A 19,215-nucleotide genomic window follows, 5' to 3' on the forward strand; every position below is an offset into this window, starting at 1 on the left:
GTGAATGCATGGGCTGGTGTGACATTTGTCATCCTTTCCCCTGACCCCCGCCATTGAATCATTTTGGGAGAGCTTTCGGGGGGCCATGTGGACTTTGGGGAAGATGCTAGGGTTGTGCACTGTGGTGGGGGGCGGTCATGAAGCTGATGAGCAATGGTGACGGGGCTCAGTCTGTTTTTCATGGCCAGTGTCATCGAGGCAGAGGACACGGGGGAGCTAGTCCCGCTGGAAGGCATCCTGCTGGAAGGCCACCCACCCCTCGCCAGGATGTTGGGGGCGGCTGCATGCATTCCCTGCACCTGGGCTGCCTTCTGCTCATCTCAGTGCTGTGAGACCCTGGGTGGGAGCTGGTGCCTTGGGTGGCCGTGTGCGTGTGCTGCTCCTTGTGGTGCCTGAGGAGAGGTGGCCTGTGTTGCATTCACAGAAATCATGACACACAAGACACGAGCGGCCTCTCTTCAGTATCAGATCCCACCTGCATGATTCCTGCACCTGCTGATGTCGGGGAGGTCCGGTTGCGCGCCCTGTGGGCCCCCAGAGGCATGGCTGGTGGCCGAGCACGCGCTTGACTTCCACCTGCAGCCCTGTGCTGGCCTCCATCCTGGAGGCGGGTGGGTGGCAGGGCCCTTCCCTGTGGAAGAAGCCTCCTCCCTGGAGTCAGTGCTGCTCAGTGGTACCTGAAATAGGTTGCCTGTGAGGTGTTCACTTTCTATATGATGAATATTATACAGTCAACCTCTTTCCGATATCGAATCCCACCTTGGATGCCTTCCTCTTTGCTGTCAACTCCAGGCAGCAGCTGGCTCTGCGCTGGTTGACCCTGTGGACTTTGTGTAGGACCTGTGTCACTTGGCCTGTTAATTTTCCAGCTCCACTCTGTTCTGGGGGGCTTTGGAAGTGTGACAGAATGGCATCCCCAATTCCAGTGTCAGCGGGAGCACCCGCCATGCCCTTGCTTCCGGTTGGCACATCCCCCAGGCTGGGCTGGCTCTCAGCTACCCGATGCTTATGTCATATTTGCACCCCTGGCCTGCCCAGACTACAGGAAGATGACCAGAGGCCTGTTTGCAGCTGACCTGGAGACTTAGTGACTCCAGAACATGCTGCCCATGCCCAGGGTCCAGGGCTGAAGGCAAGGAGCACCTCAGGAGTGACCCCAAAGAATGAGCTAAGGCTGTCCTTTATCACTCATTGTTGATCAGTGAGCTCCTGGGCTCGGGAGATCTTCCTGAGCTGGGCTCCCGTCATCCCCTAGTTGAGACGTCGCTGCCTTGGAAGTCACAGCCTGTGCCTGCCCTCCCCCTTGTCCTCCTCCTCGGGACCGCTCCTCTCCATGCCTAGCATGGGAGTGGGGATCCCTGGCACCATCCCTCTGGGCTGCCTGCTCCCACTCTCCCTCAGCACCCCTCTTCCCCAGCCCCTGGGCCACAGCCCTGCTGGAGAGGCCGCCCCACAGGCTAGGTCCCTCCAGCCTGTGGCACTTGGGTCTCCCTCCAGTGCCCCTCCCTCTGCCAGGGAGAGCATTTCCAAGTGCAGAGTCCAGCTGTTTAACTCCGCTGCCCAGGGCACCTCTGCAGGCCCCTTCCCTTGGGCTTGGTACCAAAATGATCCGAGGACCCCCCAGGCCCTCAGAGTGGCAGCCCCCCTCTTCTTTTGGAGCCACAGCCTATCCCCCACGTGTTTTCATCCTTCATTCTGGCCTTGCACATGCCCCTCCTTCCGGAGCTGGGTCCTGGGCCGCCCTGCTCTGCCCTCGGCTGCCTCCTGTCCAGGCTCTGGCCCTTCCTTCCTTAAAGGCCCACATCCTTTGCATTTTCCTTTCCCAGGGGTTCACAATTCCCAAGGGGATGGAATGGCTCTTGTTCAGCAAGGTCATCCCTGATAACCCTATAAAAGCAGCTCCCCTTGCCTCTTCCCTATCACATTCTACCAGTTGCCCCGTTACTGTTTTCTTCCTAGCTTACAGTTCTCTGAAATTGCCTAATGTTAATGTCTACCTTCTTTGTGCCCTAGACTGTGAGATTTCTCATTGGCAGAAATTTCTCTCTCTCTCTCTCTCTCTCTCTCTCTCTCTCTCTCTCTCTCATCCCCTGCTGTGTTCAGTAGCAGAACAGTGAGTGTTTGTTGATTGACTAATGGAGTCCCCAAAGGCAGGGACCGGATCAGATGAATTCCCAGGCAGGTGCTGGGCACAAAGCAGGCAGTCAATAAGATGTGGTGATGGAGTACATGAATATGTTAATTGATTTTTAGAAATTCTTCCCATTTGTTCAAAGCTGTTTGGTTTTCTAGCTTTTTCTGCCCTTCCAGGATGAGGCTGAGATTAGCTGCAGGAGGCACGAGTCAGTTGGGTCTGGGTTCTCTCTTCCACTTGTCGGGGGGTGGGGGCACCAAAGCCCCAGAGGAAGTGACAGGCCCTGTGTTCCCCTGCAGATGCCGACTGATCGCGCCCCCGCCCCTCCAGCAAACGCCCCAGCGCTGAGAGCCAAATGCTCTGGGGAACTCCATCTGCAACGGGCTGGAGCGTGGTGTTAGGGCTCATATTTTATGCATGGGGCTGACTAAATGGGAACATTTGGAGATGAAAATTGCTGTTAATGCATCTACACATCTTTGGAATATATTAAATGTGTGTGTGAGGGGAAGAGTGACATTAGCCTTATTTAATAGCTTCAATATAACCATCCCCGCACACCACGGCGTTAACAGGCACGGCCCCCCCGCCGAGTCTCCCAGGCCACCACTCAGGAAGAGTGCTGGGTGCATCACGCGCCACTTGAGAATTAGGGGGTGAGTCCGGCGTCGGCCCGGCATGCAGCAGCGTGCATGTTCCCCGCCGATTTCTAACCCAAACACAGTGACCCTGTGCCACTTGATGCAGAATTTCATTAAAAGCAAAAATGATTGATTTATCTATTGTTTGCGGAGAAGAAAAAATAAACAAAGGGCCTTTCTCATCAGATAAGCCAAATAAGAACGTGTGCCCCACAGGTGGCCAGGATGAAAGTCTCCATGGACCCTTCAACCAGAGGCTCTGTGACTTGTCCCGTCTTCAGTGCGGTGTGTAAACCCTGCCGCCGGTCCAAGTTCACGAGGTGTGCTCCCTTCTCCAGTGCAAGGGCCCGGTTTATCCCCACTATGTCTCCTGGACGTGGTTGGGAAATTGAACAACCTGGACCTCCGTTCCCATTTCCTTGTTGTTTCAGCGGGAGATAAGAGGAGAAGTAATAGCTGTCGTGTTGGGGCGCTTGCCTTGGTCCTGGGCCCCATCAGCTGCTGTGAGGAGACAGTTTCTTTTCCATAGTTGAGGAAATGGAGCGCAGAGAGGTTGAGTGAGTCAACCAAGGTCACCCAGCTGGAGGTGGGGCAGGGTCTGGCTCCAGGCTGTGTGCTCTCACCCACCCTGCTTGCACGGGCTTTAGGAATAGCCCCTGTGTCCTGGAAGACAGATCGCTCACCGAATGGGCCTCTTTTCTTGGTATCATATGATGAGGTAGGCTCACTTTCCCCCAGACTTAGCTTGCCAGAATATTCATGGTTTTTTCTCTGTACTCACCTGTCATCTCTCCAACTTGGTGCCATCACCCATGAAGTGGGATGCTTTGGTGCGTGTCTGGCCTGGGGAGAGGGCTGCTTGCTTTGTCAGAAGACTCAAAGCATGATGGGCATCCAAATACCAAAGACCTATGTTGACCTGTGTTTTTCACTCCGCTTGATGGCAGTTGAGGGCTATATTCACTGCCTCAGTTGCATGGAGTGAACAAGACCTAGTGAAGGTGGTGGGTGCGCTGAGACCATCTGGTTGATCTCTCCTGGGTGGGACCAGGTGCTCCCCTCACCACCCCCACCCTTGTCTGTGTACCACCACTCTGCACAGACACGTTGGCTGGTGCAGTCCTGGAGACCCACGGAGCTCACGGTCGTCAGGGGTCCTCAAGGATTCAGAGAACCCCCAAATGTCAGGGCTGCTCCCTTCTTGTCCTGCCTCTCTGCTCACACCCTTGGACAGGTAAGAAAACTGAGGTCCACAGAGGGCAGGGTGCATTGCTGTGGCTTTTGTTCTGAGCACTGTCTCCCCAGCTTTGGGGTTGAGACTCTGGGGTCAAGACCCACCTCTGATGAACGAGCGGCTTCCTTCTTTGTAAAAATTGAGGCGACCCAGACCAAGAAGGGCTGCAAAATCACCAAGCCAGGACCTCAATACCCAAGGGGCTGGGGTTTCGGCCACCCTGTGGCAGAGCTTTTAGAAGCCAGGGCCCTTGGCTCGGCAGTGCTGGCTCATAGTAGGTGCTTAGTTCATGCCTGTCTCCTTGGATGAAATCTGACCATAGACACCAGTGCAAAGCAGGTGTTCAACACAGGAGGGTGTACTGAACCCGATCTCTCTATCACCAGGAGGAAGCACACGGGAGGCACTCAGAGAACGTTTGTGGAATGAATAAATAAAAGCATATTTTGAGGGAATAAAGAAGCAGAAAAACAAAGAAGAATCTGGGGAAGATGGGCATAAATCTCCACCAAGTGCTGCCAAGGCTTCCCAGGCGAGGCTGCTGAAAAGACCCTGTGGAGGTAGAGGGACAATTTGTCATGGATGGGAATGGGCTTGAGGGCCGGGAAGCAGGGCATGATGGGGCCTCATTCATCATTTTCCCGTTATCCCAGCAGCGTGCAGGGGAGCAGGTACAGCACCTGCCTGTGCAGCTGCACTGCCTGCCCGAAGGCCCTAGGCCCTGGGCCAAGTGAGTGACCAGAGGGGGACTGGGAATGGAAAGGACCTCAAGGAAGGACAAGCTGAGCTCTGGGAGGCCACCTCCTCCAGGAAGCCTTCCCTGATTCATCCTTCACAGGCAGTCTCAATTTGCAGTCAGATATCCACTGCTCTGATTCTTAGATCAGCAAGTATCTCCCTACCCAGACTGCAGGCTCTGCTGGGGCCGCGGCTGTTTCTGACTTGTGCACAATGGCATCCCTGTACCTAGCACAGGACTGAGTCCAGAGAAAGTGCTCAGTGATGCTTGTTGGCCTTGTCTCTCCTCTGTGGGCAGCACAGGGCACCCGGCGGGTCCTGAGGGTGTGGACATCCCACGGCAGAGCCTGCGGTTGATCCCGACCATGAACCAAGGCCTGGGGCGGGGGTGGCCACATCAGGCCACTTCTGCCAGGAGAGATGTGGCTGTGAGCTGGGGGTCTGGCCTGTCCCCGGAGGCATTCCTTGGGTTTGCATCCATCAGAAGATCCACTGGTTGCCTCTATTTGGGCCTGGAGCAGGGATGGGATTTTTCCAAGGTACATGGGGTCTAGGGGAGACCCAGGCCCATTATTAGGGTCGGTCTTGAGAAGGCAGAGATCAGGCCACCACTTTATTTGGTGTAGCTCCTCGCTCCATTGGTGTGTGCTGAGTGAATGAATGCATCAGGGACTCCTGCTTCCTGCCCAGAGCCCCCTCCGCACCCCACACAGCCTTGCTCCAAGGAGAAGGGGTCAGAGCCAACTGGACAGTGCTACAGCATGGGGAGCCTCGACCAGGCTCGGCCCTCGACGATGGGATAGGCAGACAGCCCCCTGTGCAAGGCAGCTAGCTTGCAGGGTCCCGAGAGGCCAAAGGCCCTGGTCTTTCCTGGGGCAAGAGGCTGCTGAGAAGGTGCACAGAGCCTGGGTGCAGGAAACCATCCAGAATGCTGCTTCCCGCCATCTGTGAGATCTTCGTTTTCTCTAACACTCAAAAATAGATGTTTCTGTTATGCTCTCTCGTTGGCAGGGGAGCGGCAGGACCTGCCAAGGCCTGGGGGAGCCCGCCAGCCTGCTGAGTTCTACTGTACAAACAGTTGGGGAGGGGGCGCTGTCTCTGTTAACTTGAAATTCCCCGATCAGTAAACATGCCAATTTAAAGTGTAATTAACTCAGGCCGGAAAAAATTCAGATTTGGACTGCTTTTCACAGTTGAGGTTGTTTTTCTTTTATTTATTTATCTCTTTCCGGGTGTGGTGGTATCTGTGGCTGGTTTTAGCCAGGAAAAATAGAAGGGGGACCGGGTGGGGAGGGGGCTGGTTGGGAGAGGAAAGGCTGGAAGGAAAGGAAGAGAAACGGGCGGGTGGCCTGACACCCAGCAGCCAGGTGTCTATAGGTTTTCTGTCCTGGGAGGGGGCTGTCAGGGTGATGCCCGCCTGCAGAGAGGGGGTCATTCTGCGAGGTTGGGCTGCAGACCCCTGTGCCAGCGGGCCTGGTGATTCGGAAATGATGGGGCACTGTGGAGAGACCCCAGGAAAACACCCAGTGCTGCTTTTGACATTCTCTCTCCATCTCCCCTTTCAGCGGCTGCTCTGCCTGGGATAAACACATTTCAAGAGTCTCAGTCCCCGCTTTGCCACCATCTCCTCCTCTGATCTCCTTTCCTGCTTCAAAAGACTCCAGAATCTTCTCGGTTCTCAGAGAAGGCTGAATCCACCTATGACCTAGTGGGAGCACCCTGTGCCGAAACTGTTTACCTTCTGGTCCCCGGAGCCATGGGTCACGACCTGGGCCTCATGTAGGCCCGCTCCTCAGCAGACCCCAATCTGCGGCTTCTCCCACCTCACTGGGGAAGAAGGAGAGCCCTGGGGATGTGGAGAAGCCACCCCCCACCCCGCCACATCCCCCACATCTTACAGAATCTCGATTGAATCCCCGGGGGCACATCCCTCAGCAGGACAGCAACAGTCTTTGCCGCAGCCTGGGGAGGGCTGTGCTGGGGATGAGCGCCGAGTGGCCGTGGACTAAGTGAAGGAAATGACCATGCTCTTCTCCCAGCTGGATGGCGAGGCCGGGCAGGAACCGCGGAATTCCTGCTCTTCGTTTTCAAACACTTTGCTGTCAAGCTATTTGAATAATAAATACACATTATAAAAATGTAAATATGTTTGTGTGTCTGTATGTTCGGAGATGATGTTTGTTAAGCGGGAGGTTTAACAACGGAGGCCATCTGCCTTCAGCAGGGATTCGCACAGAATGTCACTGGCCTTCGCCCAACAAGCACTTTGCAGGGAGCAACCTCCTGAAGTCGGGGCTCACTCCTGGGTCCCCCTCCACTGCATGCGAGCCCCCCGTTCCAAGGCAGGAGCCAGGGTCACGAAAATGCATGCTTCTTCATCAATCCGAGGTCTCAAACGGCTCCCCCAGCCCCACTGCCTGCCCGTTCCAGGCCTGGGGCTGGCAGCCTGGGCCCCACGAGGGGGCAGAGGCCAGAGCCCGGCGGCAGAGCCCGTGCCCACGCCTCGCTGCTGCCAGCCTCCGCTTGGTCACGACACAGCCAGGCTGACTCAGACACAGCCCCAAGCGGGAGCCTCATAAATGACATCATTACCTATGAAACCTGCCGTGTAGTGCGCTAGCAGGGAAGGACACACTCTGGCCGCCCGGTGACTCACACTGTTTTCCCCAGAGCCTTCCTGCTCCACCGCCTGGGTCTGAGCTGGCTGGGCAGGGGGAGGGGGCACTCAGCTTGGCCTCACTCCCCCGCTCTGCTGCAAATGCAAAAGCAATCGGCCAGGCAGCCACCATCCTGCTGAGGGCTGTGTGTGGGGGTGGCGGGGAGGAGGGGGGGCACCATCTCTCCGGCCTCCCTCTGCAGCCCCAGTGGCGCTCCAGAGGGACTGTCAGTTGCCTATGACAGGGGAGGAAACTGAGGCCTAAAGAGGCCCAATGCCTGGCCTCACAGATCCCACAGGGGAGGGTGGCTTCGGCTCATGCTGGGAACCCCCAGGGAGACCCTTCGGCGAACCCAGCCGCTGGGCAAAGCTGCAAAACCTCTGGCTGTTCCTGCTGGGCCTGAGACTCCAGCTTCTCCTGAGCTCCTTTGGTGCAGCCAACTCCTCCTGCTGAAAAACACTTCTACTCTTGAAAGTGGTGGCCTTGCCAACCCAAGATGTCCCCACCAGGTGGGGGGCACTGTAGGGGAATGCTAGTTTTTTTTTCTTCAATTAAAAAAAAGTAAAACAAATAAAATGGGACCTGTTGGGTATGGCCTTCAGAGTCGGAGGACTTGGGTTAAGATCCAGCCTTTGTCATTTACTGGTACTGTGGTTTTCTTGTATCTGGCCTCCACCTCCTAGGCAGGATGAGAGTTAAATGCCTGTTAGGTTCACGTTAAACTGGGGCTCCCCCTCAGTGATCCATGGTTGGGGAGGACCCCCACCAATCCTGAGGTCGCTGTGCACCTGCAGCCCAGACCTCACCCTGGCCCGGGGACCTGGCCTGATGGTCCAGCCCCCCACACACTGCTGGCTCTGGGGCTGTGCCCTCCTGATACGCCCCCAGCACCTGATGGCATCCCCCAAACAGAACAAGAACCGCAAACAGCAACAGCCCGTTTTTGCTCTTAGGAAGCTCAGAGCAGCATCTATGCCAAAATCGTTCACACTCTGGTCCCCGGAGCTACAGGTCACAAGCTGGTCCTCACCCAGACCCGCTCCTCAGCAGCCTCCATCCCTGACCCTGGTTTCCTGGGGACTCTGCTCCGCTGACTTCTGAGCTGTGGGAGCTGTAAGGGAGAGGAGTGGGCCACAGACTTGATGGGAGGATACAGAGGTAGAAATTCAAGTCAGGGCCACAGAGTTGTGTTCAAAACTGGGAACATGACCTGGGCTTGGCACAGAGCCTGGCGCCTGGGATGAGTGGAGAGGGAGAATTGGAGGGCACTGGGATTGGTAATCCTCAATGCATCTTAGGCAAATGAGCTCGGGGTCACAGGGCAGGATACATGGGACCAAGGAACACTGGTCAGCCATCAGTGCTGTGACCCAGGTGGGCTTGAGGTACAGTGGGGGGTCCCAGGACTGGCAGGCCCCACAGAGTAGCCTTCCCTGAGTTTGTCTGAGCCAAAAATCCCAGCAAAGGGCTTTGTGGCCCGTTGCCACTTTCACCCTGGTAGCTCCACCCCATCTCCCCCTTTGCCATGAACTCACAGCTCTCCTGCGAGGCCACAACCCATGCCAAGACTTTCAATGGGTTAAGGAATGTGCACATCTCTAAATGACCACACGTGCCCTGTCATGTACACGTGCACACACACTGACATGCATTTGAGGAATGGGGGCATTCTCTGTGCCTGAGCAGAGGCCAGGGACCCTGGATGGGTAGGAAAGAGTCGAGGGAGTTGGGCAGCAGAAGCACGTGCTGGTAGGGATGGCAAGGAGCCCTGGACGTTGGTGGTGGGTGGGTGCTGTATCAGGACCTGGGCTAGAAGAAAGGCTTGGGATCAGAGTGGACCCAGTTCTCTTTGAAGCATAGCTTTCTTCTGGTTCTTTGTAAGACCAAAGCAACTGACACCTGTGCAGCTGTCCCTGGGTGACTTTGTCTGATATCACACAGCCACAGGACTCTCTCTCTGTCCCAGTCACTACTGAAGCTGACTCTGCGCTCTCTCCCCGGTGATGAGGCCTCTCTTCTCACAGATGGGTGATTTCTCACTCTCATCCAGTTCCCCTCCTGGCCACACTCATTTTCTTATTGAGGCGCAGGGGGTACCACCCCTGGTTTGGGGACTGTTCGGCTGGCCACACCCCCTCTTTGGTGGGTAGCAGAGGAAGTGACACTTCTGACTAAAAAGACTGGGGTCACACTGCCCAAGAATTGAGTGGAGTTTCTTGCACAGAAAGAGTTTGTTTTCCAAAAGACAAAGAAGTTTCTAAGCCTCAGGAAGGGATGCTGAAAAGTCAGTGGACTGAAGCTGGCCAGGTTTCACCCCCAACTTGGGCACTAACCCTGAGGATGGGTGTGGGGGCAAAGGTGGCATCAATGCTGCCAGAGCCTCATGCTCCAACACACCGGAGCCACTAGCCCAGCTCGCCCATGCCTGTGACCTTGGGGCTGTCACTTGAACCCTCTGGGCTTCCGTGTCCTCATAATAGGATCTGGGTTCTTGAGAGAGAGACACCAAAGCATGCCCGGAACAGAGCCCAGCAGCCCACTCCTCCTCCGTCACCCCAGGCCTCTCTGCCAACCTTCTCTGCCTCTCCCATTTCAGCCCCATACCTGGTTTAGACCCTAGGGGGATGCTGGGTGCACAGAACAGACCACCTGCGCTTGGGCCATGGCTGCTGGGTACTGGCCTCTTCCCTAATGAGGGAGGAAGGAGTGAGGAGAGCCCTCAGAGGGGCCATGGGCAGTCCCGGGGTGCAGAGGCTGAGTCCCGAGGAAGTGGGGGCTCCTGCCGCCTCTCCGCAGGGTCCTGGCTGTGTCAGGTGGGGCTGTTGTTTCTCTCGTCTGCTGTCATCTTCCCTTTGCCATTTCCCTCGCGGGGCTGACATTTTCCTGGCAGGTCCAGGAGGAAGGAGGGTGACAGCTGCACAGACAGCCCCGGTGAGGGGGCAAGCCCGGCCTGTACTAAGGCTGTCTCTTCCCCCCGCTTGGGGAAAAGAACGGGTGCAGACCACCCCTTCCATGGAGGGGTAACTTCATGGGTTTCCCCCGAAAACCCCAAAACTTGGAACTGCTGCGGGGTTTCCACCTACCCTGCCTGTGTCCGGCACAGAGCAGCCTCCAACGGTCGCCTAAAAGGCGGGCAGCAGTCCCGTTTGTCTCCAATATCCTCCCTCTCCAGGATTCTCAGAGCACTTGTGATGGCAGCAAACTGAGTCTCAGCGAGGGGTTCACTGGCCCTGCACGGCTCCCGGCACTTTGTAACCTATAACGAGACGAGGACCGTGAGGATGTATTCATATTTCACGCATTCAGCTTCTATTTAACTATGTCTCCGAGCACGCGTGCTCTGAACTATGACCCCACAGAGAGACCACCACCTCCCCGCAACTGCCTGGCAGGGCGCACCAGGCTGCAGAGACAAAGGAATGGGACCTTTAGAAGCCTGGACCAGTTACTGGCACTGGGCGCCCACCTCTGGGTTGGGGAAAATGCCGTGTGCCCAGTGCAGCCCCAAGATGCTTCCTGGCCAAGAGGACCCCGTTCGTCAAGGCCTTTACACCCCTTATCTCCCCCAATGCCCTTTCCTGGCAGCCAGCCAGTGGTTCCACCTTTCCCCTTTTCAGCCAAAAAAAAGTAAACGCAGGCCAGAGAAGCCACCTGCCTGCGGTCCCACAGCCCGAGGTGGAGGCGGAGGGGGTGCTGCCACTCCAAATCTGGGCGCCCCCACCCCAGTGCCCCCCTCCCGAGAATAGAGCCCAGAGCCAGAAGAAATCCGCCCTTGGGGCCAGGCTGGGTGGACATGGAGAGGGGGTAGAGGAATGCCGGCGGGAGGTACTGAAGGCTGCGGGGGTGAGGGGGGTTGAGGGGTCCCCAGGGGTCCCTGCCCTGCAGTTCTTTGGGGTTCACAGATTGGAAAAGCTGGTGCCCTTCTGAGGGTGGGTGGGGGTGGCGGCAGAGGCAGAATAAAACCCCCTCCCCTAGAGCCGGGGTGGCTCAGCGGAATCATCGAGAATGAGACCGCTGGTTGCTAATGGGCTTGGGGAAAATGGGATGCAATTTCCCCGGTGTTTTTCAGGCCCAGAGCTATTGAATAAATGAAGTGCGCGCCGGCGGAGTCAGTAACTCACTGCGCGGCTCCCGGCAGGCGGGGGCGGAGTGGGGGCCGCAGAACCGGACGTGCCTGGCGAGGTTCAGAGGCGCTAGCGGTGTGGTGGGTGGGCAGCGCCGGGATGGCTGGAGGGAGGGGCTACGGGGGGAGGCGCTGCCGATCCCACACTGATCTGGCGGGGAGGAGGGAGGGGCGGATGGGGTTTGCTGGAGAACTTGACCTTGCTTCGCTCCCCTCAAGGGGCAGCTGCTGGGAGACCAAGTGTCACCGGCTGGCAATCAGGGCCCCAAGCCTGGAGACTTCTGGACAAGCGGAGGCAAGCCGACCATGACGGCTTGGGTGCAGGGAGCAGGTGTCTGAGCCTTTGACGTAGACTTCCCGAGCCCCCACTGCACGGTGCAGGGGAGGGGCGGCGCAGGGAGGAGAGCGGGTTTCCGAGAGCCGCACATTTACCAGACATCACAGCCACCCCTCCGCTGAGCTGGGGGCTGCTCTGGGTTCGGGATCTGCAGCTCACAGAGCCCCTGCAACGCTGTCCCACCCCCAGCCTCCAGAAGAGGATGGAGGACTGCCAGACCGGCTCAGGCCTGGGGGGGGGGGGGGGTGAGGGGCTGCCGTGGGCTTCAGGGCCCCCACACCCTGTTGGAGCACCCTAGGGGGACGGCAGACCGCCTCGCTCTCTGCCTGGTTCCTCTGGGTATTTGCTGGGTGACCCTGGGCAGACTCCTGGTTTCTCTGGGCCTCCAGTTTCCAGGTGGAAAATGGACCATGCACCCATTGGGTCCTCCTGGCTCCAGCTGTTCACCTCTGTGCTCATGCAGACACTCACTCCACTCCGTTGGCCCCATAATTTCCAGAGCCCCCAGCATCCACTTTGGACCCTTGTTCAAGAAAGCCCCCAGCTCTGAGTAGCTAGGCTCTTCTCACACCTTCTAGAACACACAGCCAAGCCAATGAGGGGGACAGGTGCTCCCCCAAGATCTTTCTCCCAGCCCCAGTGAGGTCCATGGGAGTCCTCCTCTTTCTCACTCTCAGTACCCCCACTCTTTTGACTCTAGGGGATCTTCCCCTCCTTCCAAAGCCCCAGCCCCCTTCCTCCAGGAAGCTGCCGGAGGGTGCAGGGAGCTGTATAAGCCTGGACCAACAGAAGGGTAAAAATGCTTGAAAAATTTAGATCTCAGGATCCCGGCCTTCTAAAGCCAAAACTTCGTACAAAAGATATCATGGAGTGACAGCAGATCTGAGTTGGTGGCTCAGTGGGGCTTGGCACAGGGTACACTGGGATGAATGCCTGATCCCAAGAGCCACTAAGCCCACCTGCTTGCCCACAGTTCCCGAATGTCTCTGGGGAGACCCCACCTCCCCTGCTGGGCACTGCACCAAACTCTGGGTCCCCAGGGAAAATGCTTCTGAACTGCAGTTTCCACAAATGCAAGAGGACCAAAGGCTGCGTATCTGCTCTGCAGCACGCCTGTGCCTGTGGCTCCTTGGTGGGCAGGGCTCGCTGTACAGGGTGCTCACCCTTGCCTTTCCCGAGAGCAGGGCAGGGCAGAGCACTAGAAGATGGTCTCGCCCAAGGCTCTTCCCCCTGGGAGGACGGCAAGCCCGATGTGTCTCCATTGGTGGGGAGCTTGGGGGTGGGGGTGGGGTGGCGCTTCTGTGCTCCGGTGCCCCACAGGCCTCACCTCATCATTCCCAGGCATCTCATCTCATTTCCAGATAAGCGCAGAGTGATGACACCGTAAGCCCAGAGCCCCACAGCTGGGGTCAAAGCCCTTCAGTCCCATAGAATGAGTTAGGGAAAATTTCTTCCTCTTTGATTTTTTTGAAATAGTTTCAGGAGTATTAGTATTAGTTCTTTGTATGTTTGGTAGGAGTTGACTGTGAATCCATCCAGTCCTAGACTTTTCTTTGTTGGGAGACTTTTTATTACTGATTCAATGTTGCTACTTGTTTTTGGGCTTTTCAGGTTTTCTGTTTCTTCCTGATTCAGTCTTGGTAGGTGGCATATTTCTAGGAATTTATCCATTCCCTCAAGGTTTCCCAGTATTACCCTGATACCAAAACCAGACAAAGACACAACGAAAAATAATAATAAAACTACAGGCCAGTGTTCCTGAAAAACATAGACACCAACATCCTTAACAAGATACTAGCAAATCAAATCCAACAACACATCAGAAAGATAACATACCATGATCACGTGGGATTTATACCTGATGTAAATGCAAGAATGGTTTGACATATGTAATGCATGTGCTACATCACATCAACAGAATGAAGGACAAAAACCGTGTGGTCATCTTAATAGATTCAGGAAAAGCATTTAATAAAATTCAACATCCCTGCATGCTAAAAACTCTCAACAAACTGCACATACAAGGAACATACCTCAAAATAATAAAGGCCATCTACAACAAACCCATAGTTACATCACTCTGAATGGGGAAAAGTTGAAAGCTCTTCCACTAAGCACTGGAGGAAGACAAGGATGCCCACTCTCACCATTCCTCTTCAAGACAGTACTGGAAGTCCTAGCCAGAGCAATCAAGCAAGAGAACCCAATAAAAGGCATCCAGATTAGAAAATAGGACGTCAAATTGTCCCTCTTTGCTTATGATATGACCTTGTATCTAGAAAAATCTAAAGACTCCTCCAAAAAACACAGATTTGATACATGAATTTAGTGAAGTTGCAGGATACAAAATCAATGTACAAAAATCAGTAATGTTTCTATACACCAATGATGATTTAGTTGAGAAAGAAATTAAGAAGGCAATCCCATTTACAAAAGCTACCAAAACAAACAAACAAACAAACAAAAACAAAAAAACCCACCTAGGAATAGCTTTGACCAAGGAGGTGAAAGATCTCTGCAAGCAAAACCAAAAAACACTGATGAAAGAAATTGGAGATTACACAAATAAACAATATGGTCATTAAAATGACCATATTGCTCAAAGCAATCTATACATTCAATGCAATCCTCATCAAAATACTAATGTCATTCTTCACAGAATTAGGAAAAACAATCCTAAAATTCTTATGGAACCAAAAAAAGAGCTCAGATATCCAAAGCAATCCTGAGCAAAAAGAACAAAGCTATAGACGTCCCACTACTTGACTTTAAAATATATTACAGGGCCATAGTAACCAAAACAGCATGATACTGGTATAAAAATAGACACAGTTAGGGCAATGTAACAAAATGCAGAACCCAGAACTAAAGCCACATATTTATAGCCAACTGATCTTTGACAAACTCCACAGGAACTTACATTAGAATGCTTGGAAAATTGCATAGCCACATGCAGAAGAATGAAACTGGACCCCTATCTCTCACCATATACAAAAATCAACTTAAAATGGATTAAAGAATTGAATGTAAGTCCTGAAACTATACAAATACCAGAAGAGAAAATTCTTCTGGACATTGGTCTAAGCAAATAATTTGTGAGTAAAACTCAAAAGCACATGCAACAAAAACAAAAACAGACAAATGGGGCTTAATTAAACTAAAAAGCTTATTCACAGCTAAAGAAACAATCAACAGGGTGAAAAGACAACCTGTTGAATGGGAGAAAATATTTGCAAACTATTCAGCCAAAAGGGGCTAATATTCAGCATATGCAAGGAACTCAAACAGCTTGACAGGAAAAAAATGATAATTCCACTAAAAAGTGGGCAAAGGACACGAATAGACATTTCTCAAAAGAAGACATACAAATGGCCAACAGGTATATGAAAAAATGCTCAGCATCACTAATCATCAGGGAAATGCAAATCAAAACCACAATGAGATATCATCTTACCCCAGTCAGAATGGCTATTAATAAAAAGACAAAAAATAACAGATGTTGGCGAGGATACAGGGAAAAGGGAGCTTGTACACTATTGGTGAGAATGTAAACTAGTGCAGTCACTGTGGAAAACAGTACAGAGATTTCTCAAAAAACTGAAAAGAGAATTGTCATTTGCTCCAACAATCCCACTACTGGGTATCTACCCAAAGGAAGAGAAATCAGTATTTCAAATAGGCACCTGCCCTCACACGTCCATTGCAGCACTGCTCACAATAGCAAAGATATGGAATCAACCTAAGTGTCTATCAGTAGAAGAACAGATAAAGAAAATGTGGTATATATACACAATGGATTACCATCTGGCCATAAAAAAGAATGAAATTATGTCATTTTTAGTAACACGGATGGAACTGGAGGTTATTATGTTAAGTGAAATAAGCCAGGCGCAGAAAAACAAATATCTGTTGTTCTCACTTGTATGTGGGAGCTAAACAGTTTGAACACATGGAGGTAGAGAGTAGAAAAATAGATAACAGAGACTGGGAAGGGGAGTGGGGAAGAAGGGAGAGGATGAAGAGAAGTGAGTTAAAGGTACAAACCTACAGTAAGATAGGAGGAATACATTCGATGTTTGATAGCAGAGTAGGATGACTATACTAAGAAAATGTATTGTACTTGGGTGACGGATACCCTAAATACTCTGACTTGATGACTTTGCATTATATACATATAAAATATTTCTCATGTACTCCATAAATTTGTACAAATAAAACCAAAAGTAAAGCCCTCCAGCCAGAGCCCACTGGGACCCACCTGTAGCTACGCAGTTTGAGCTCATTACATGTTGCAGAGAGAGAGAGCACGCCCTGCAGGGAAGCGCCAGGCATGCATCGGGGAGTTAGAAAGAACTCGTGCACACACAGGGCCAGAGCTGGGGGCTTGGGGGAGGATGTAAAGAAGCAGGAGATCCCTCAAGTGTGGATGCTGTCAGAACTCAGGGTGGTTCTACGATCAAGCATCTCGACAAAGCTCATCTGCTGTGGGCAGAGCAGAATGGAGAACCCGTAAAGCAGCTGCCGCCACTCACTTTTGCCAACAAAGGGACGGGCTGGGATTTTGAGGGTGGCACAGTGACCTTGCTTTTGTCTGTGTTTGGACAAAGAGTGGCCTAGCCTTGGTCTAATTCTGTCACAGTCTCAGAGACACTTGTCTGAGGTTGGTTCCTGCGAGATGGCTCCTGTCCAACAGGAGAATAACTTGGCCCAGATCAGGTTCCAGTGCTTCACGGGAGCAGAGGCCGCTTGGTTTTCTCTTCCTCACTGGTAAAGACTGAGGCCAGGCTTCAACCAGGTAGTGACAACTGTCACTACAGGGCACATCCTGTGCATGGCATCGTTCTAAGCATCTTAGGAACGTAGCTTCATTGAATCCTCATCCCAGCTCCACGGGGACTGTGGGGTGTTATTGCCATCCCCTCTTTACTTATGAGCAGAGGACAGAGGGGTTAAGTAACTTGCCCAGGTCACACAGCTTCCAAGTGGCAAGCTGGGATTTGCACTCAGGCCCTCCGGCTCCACAGTCTCAGCCCACTGAGAGGATGAGAGACCTGGGGGAGTGGCAAGGACCTGGGGGTCCCTCCTCAGCACAGCCCAGGGTAGCTGGAGGTGGAGATGTGAGACTGTGTTTGGAGCACAGGTTAGAGGACCTGAAATCCCAGGTGTGCTTGACCAAATAATAGCCCCAAAGATGTGCACGTCCTAATCCCCAGAAGCTGGGGACAGCCTCAAATATGTCCACATCCTAATCCCCAGAAGCTGGGGACAGCCCCAAAGATGTCCATGTCCTAATCCCCAGAAGCTGGGGACATGCTGCTTTGCTGCTTTACAGGGCTAAAGGGACTTTGCCAATGTGCCTAAGTTAAGGATCTTGTGACTGGCATATGATCCTGGACTACCTGAGTGGGCTCAGTGTAATCACAGCATCCTTATAAGAGGGAGGCAGGAGAGCGAGAGTCACAAAAGGGGAAGGAGATCAGGCAACAGCGGTAGAGGTCAAGAGACAGACTGGACGATGCTATGCTGCTGGCTTTGAAGATGGGGGAAGGGGCCATGAACCAAGGAGTGCAGGTGGCCTCTAGCAGCTGCAATGGTAAGAAAAGGAATTCTATTCTAGGCCTCCAGAAGGAACGCAGCCCTGCCAATGCCTTGGTTTTAACCCGGCGAGAACCATTTTGAACTTCTGACCTCCAGATCTGTAAGATAATAAATTCGTGTTGTTTTAAAGCCACTAAATTTGTGGTAAGTTTTACAGCAGCACAGGGAAAGTTATACACCAGGCTTCAAATCCACAGGACCGAGGACCACTCGGGGCACCCCCTTCCTGCTGGATCTACCACTGCCCAAGGCTAAGTGAAAGGAAGGATTGGGAAGACCCTCCTACCCCACCTCCCGACCGGGGCCACCAGGGTCATAGGATCGGGGCTCCAGGTCCAAGCTTCGGTGCCATCCAGAATGCAATATCAACAATCACATGGGGGTTGGTGGAAGCCGACAGTCACAGAGCGCCTTGTGCTGGGTGCTGCTCACGCAGTCATCCATCCTCCACCCTGCCCTCTGGGGGCGGGAACTGGAATCAAGCCTGTTGTCAGAGGGCTTCCCCGGCGTGCCCAGAGTGGAACGGCTGGTGGCTGGACCTGGCCCCAGACTTGTCTCACTGGCTTGAGCCCATGCTTTTAACCACAGCTCCACATGGGCCCCTCAAGCTGGGTGTTTGCCTTTGTCTGGTGGGGTGGAGGGCTTACCTGCTTACTCCCCAACTCAGCAAATGGTGACTGTCCCCCGTTCCCCTCTGTGCCTGGCTCTAGGCTGGGCCCTAGGCACAAGAACCTTGGCAGGTTGTGCAGGCAGGTGCTGAGAGGGAGGAAGAGTCCACCCCAAACCCAGGAACGGTGCCAGGGGAGGAATGGCTTCACTAGACACCAGGGTGGAGAGGTGACATCCTAGGCAGAAGGAAGAGCACATGCAGAGGGGCTGATCTGTACAATGGCACAGCCTCTGTGAGGAGCTGGGATGTGCCTGGAAGGACTGGGGCTCAGGTTTTAGGGAGGGAGAAGCTTGAAGCTGGACACAAAGCCAGGGCCAGTTGTCATCACAAACATATATGGCCAATGCTGGGCCCAAAGACTGGTAACGTTCCCTTCAGACCATCTGACTTACTCAGAAGCCCCATTTTGTGGAGCCCAGAGAGGTGACCAGGAAAAAAACCTGCTCTCTAGGGGAAGCAACTCCTCACTCTGCCCGGCGACATCCACAAACCAACCCACTTCCACAGAGCTTTCCCGTCCCGACTAGGGCCGGGAGAGATGAGCCTTCTCACTCCTTTGCTTATTTGTTTTTCACTGATAAATAAATACTGGATATATTTATCATGTATAACATATTGCTTGGATATATGTATACATTGTGGAATGGCTAAATCAAGCTAATCCACATATGCATTACCTCACATACTTATATTTTTGTAGTGAGAACACTTAACATCTACTTTCTAAGCAATTGTCAACGACACAATGTGTTGTTGTTAACGATAATCACCATGTTGTATAACAGATCTCTTGAACTTATTCCTACAGTCTGAATGAAATTTCGTGTTTTCTGATCCACATCTTCTAAATGCCTCCACCACCAGCCTCTGGTAACCACCATTTTACCCTCTACTTCTGTGAGTCTGGCTCTTCTTGATTCCACATATAAGTGAGATCAGGCAGTATTTGCCTTTCTGTGCCTGGCTTATTTCACTTCACATGACATCCACCAGCTTCATCCATGTTGTTGACGATGACAGGATCCCTTTCTTTTTTGAGGCTGAATAATACTTCATGGTTTATATATACCACATTGTTTTTAT

The 19,215-nt window shown here is 53.2% G+C and overlaps 2 long non-coding RNA genes and 1 other non-coding gene across 3 annotated transcripts, besides 3 other annotated features; 2 read left to right on the forward strand and 1 right to left on the reverse strand.

Annotated features, from left to right (window-relative positions):
- Nucleotides 1–677: 677 nt before the first annotated feature.
- On the forward strand, nt 678–755 carry MIR656 (microRNA 656). The gene has a single exon (NR_030392.1). It is a non-coding gene; the product is annotated as a microRNA 656 (primary transcript).
- Nucleotides 756–3,864: 3,109 nt separating this feature from the next.
- MEG9 (maternally expressed 9) lies at nt 3,865–6,891 on the forward strand. The gene is made up of 2 exons (NR_047664.1): nt 3,865–4,009; nt 4,396–6,891. It is a non-coding gene; the product is annotated as a maternally expressed 9 (long non-coding RNA).
- Nucleotides 5,932–11,610, reverse strand: LOC105370670 (uncharacterized). The gene is made up of 5 exons (NR_188195.1): nt 11,526–11,610; nt 10,488–10,660; nt 8,435–8,515; nt 7,340–8,083; nt 5,932–6,854 (listed from the first exon to the last, which is right to left on the reverse strand). It is a non-coding gene; the product is annotated as an uncharacterized LOC105370670 (long non-coding RNA).
- Nucleotides 10,506–11,163: an enhancer, noted in NCBI's record as "H3K4me1 hESC enhancer chr14:101542889-101543546 (GRCh37/hg19 assembly coordinates)". NCBI's record gives its function as "activates a minimal SCP1, AML or CMV promoter by ChIP-STARR-seq in primed H9 embryonic stem cells {active_cell/tissue: H9 hESC(primed)}" and the evidence as "EXISTENCE:reporter gene assay evidence [ECO:0000049][PMID:30033119]".
- Nucleotides 11,687–11,907: a silencer, noted in NCBI's record as "fragment chr14:101544070-101544290 (GRCh37/hg19 assembly coordinates)". NCBI's record gives its function as "represses an EF-1alpha promoter that drives an FKBP-Casp9 reporter gene in an ReSE screen in HepG2 liver carcinoma cells {active_cell/tissue: HepG2}" and the evidence as "EXISTENCE:reporter gene assay evidence [ECO:0000049][PMID:32094911]".
- Nucleotides 17,996–18,496: an enhancer, noted in NCBI's record as "H3K4me1 hESC enhancer chr14:101550379-101550879 (GRCh37/hg19 assembly coordinates)". NCBI's record gives its function as "activates a minimal SCP1, AML or CMV promoter by ChIP-STARR-seq in primed H9 embryonic stem cells {active_cell/tissue: H9 hESC(primed)}" and the evidence as "EXISTENCE:reporter gene assay evidence [ECO:0000049][PMID:30033119]".

This window comes from Homo sapiens, chromosome 14 (genome assembly GCF_000001405.40).
Source record: "Homo sapiens chromosome 14, GRCh38.p14 Primary Assembly".
In the NCBI taxonomy this organism is placed as follows: Eukaryota; Metazoa; Chordata; class Mammalia; order Primates; family Hominidae; genus Homo; species Homo sapiens.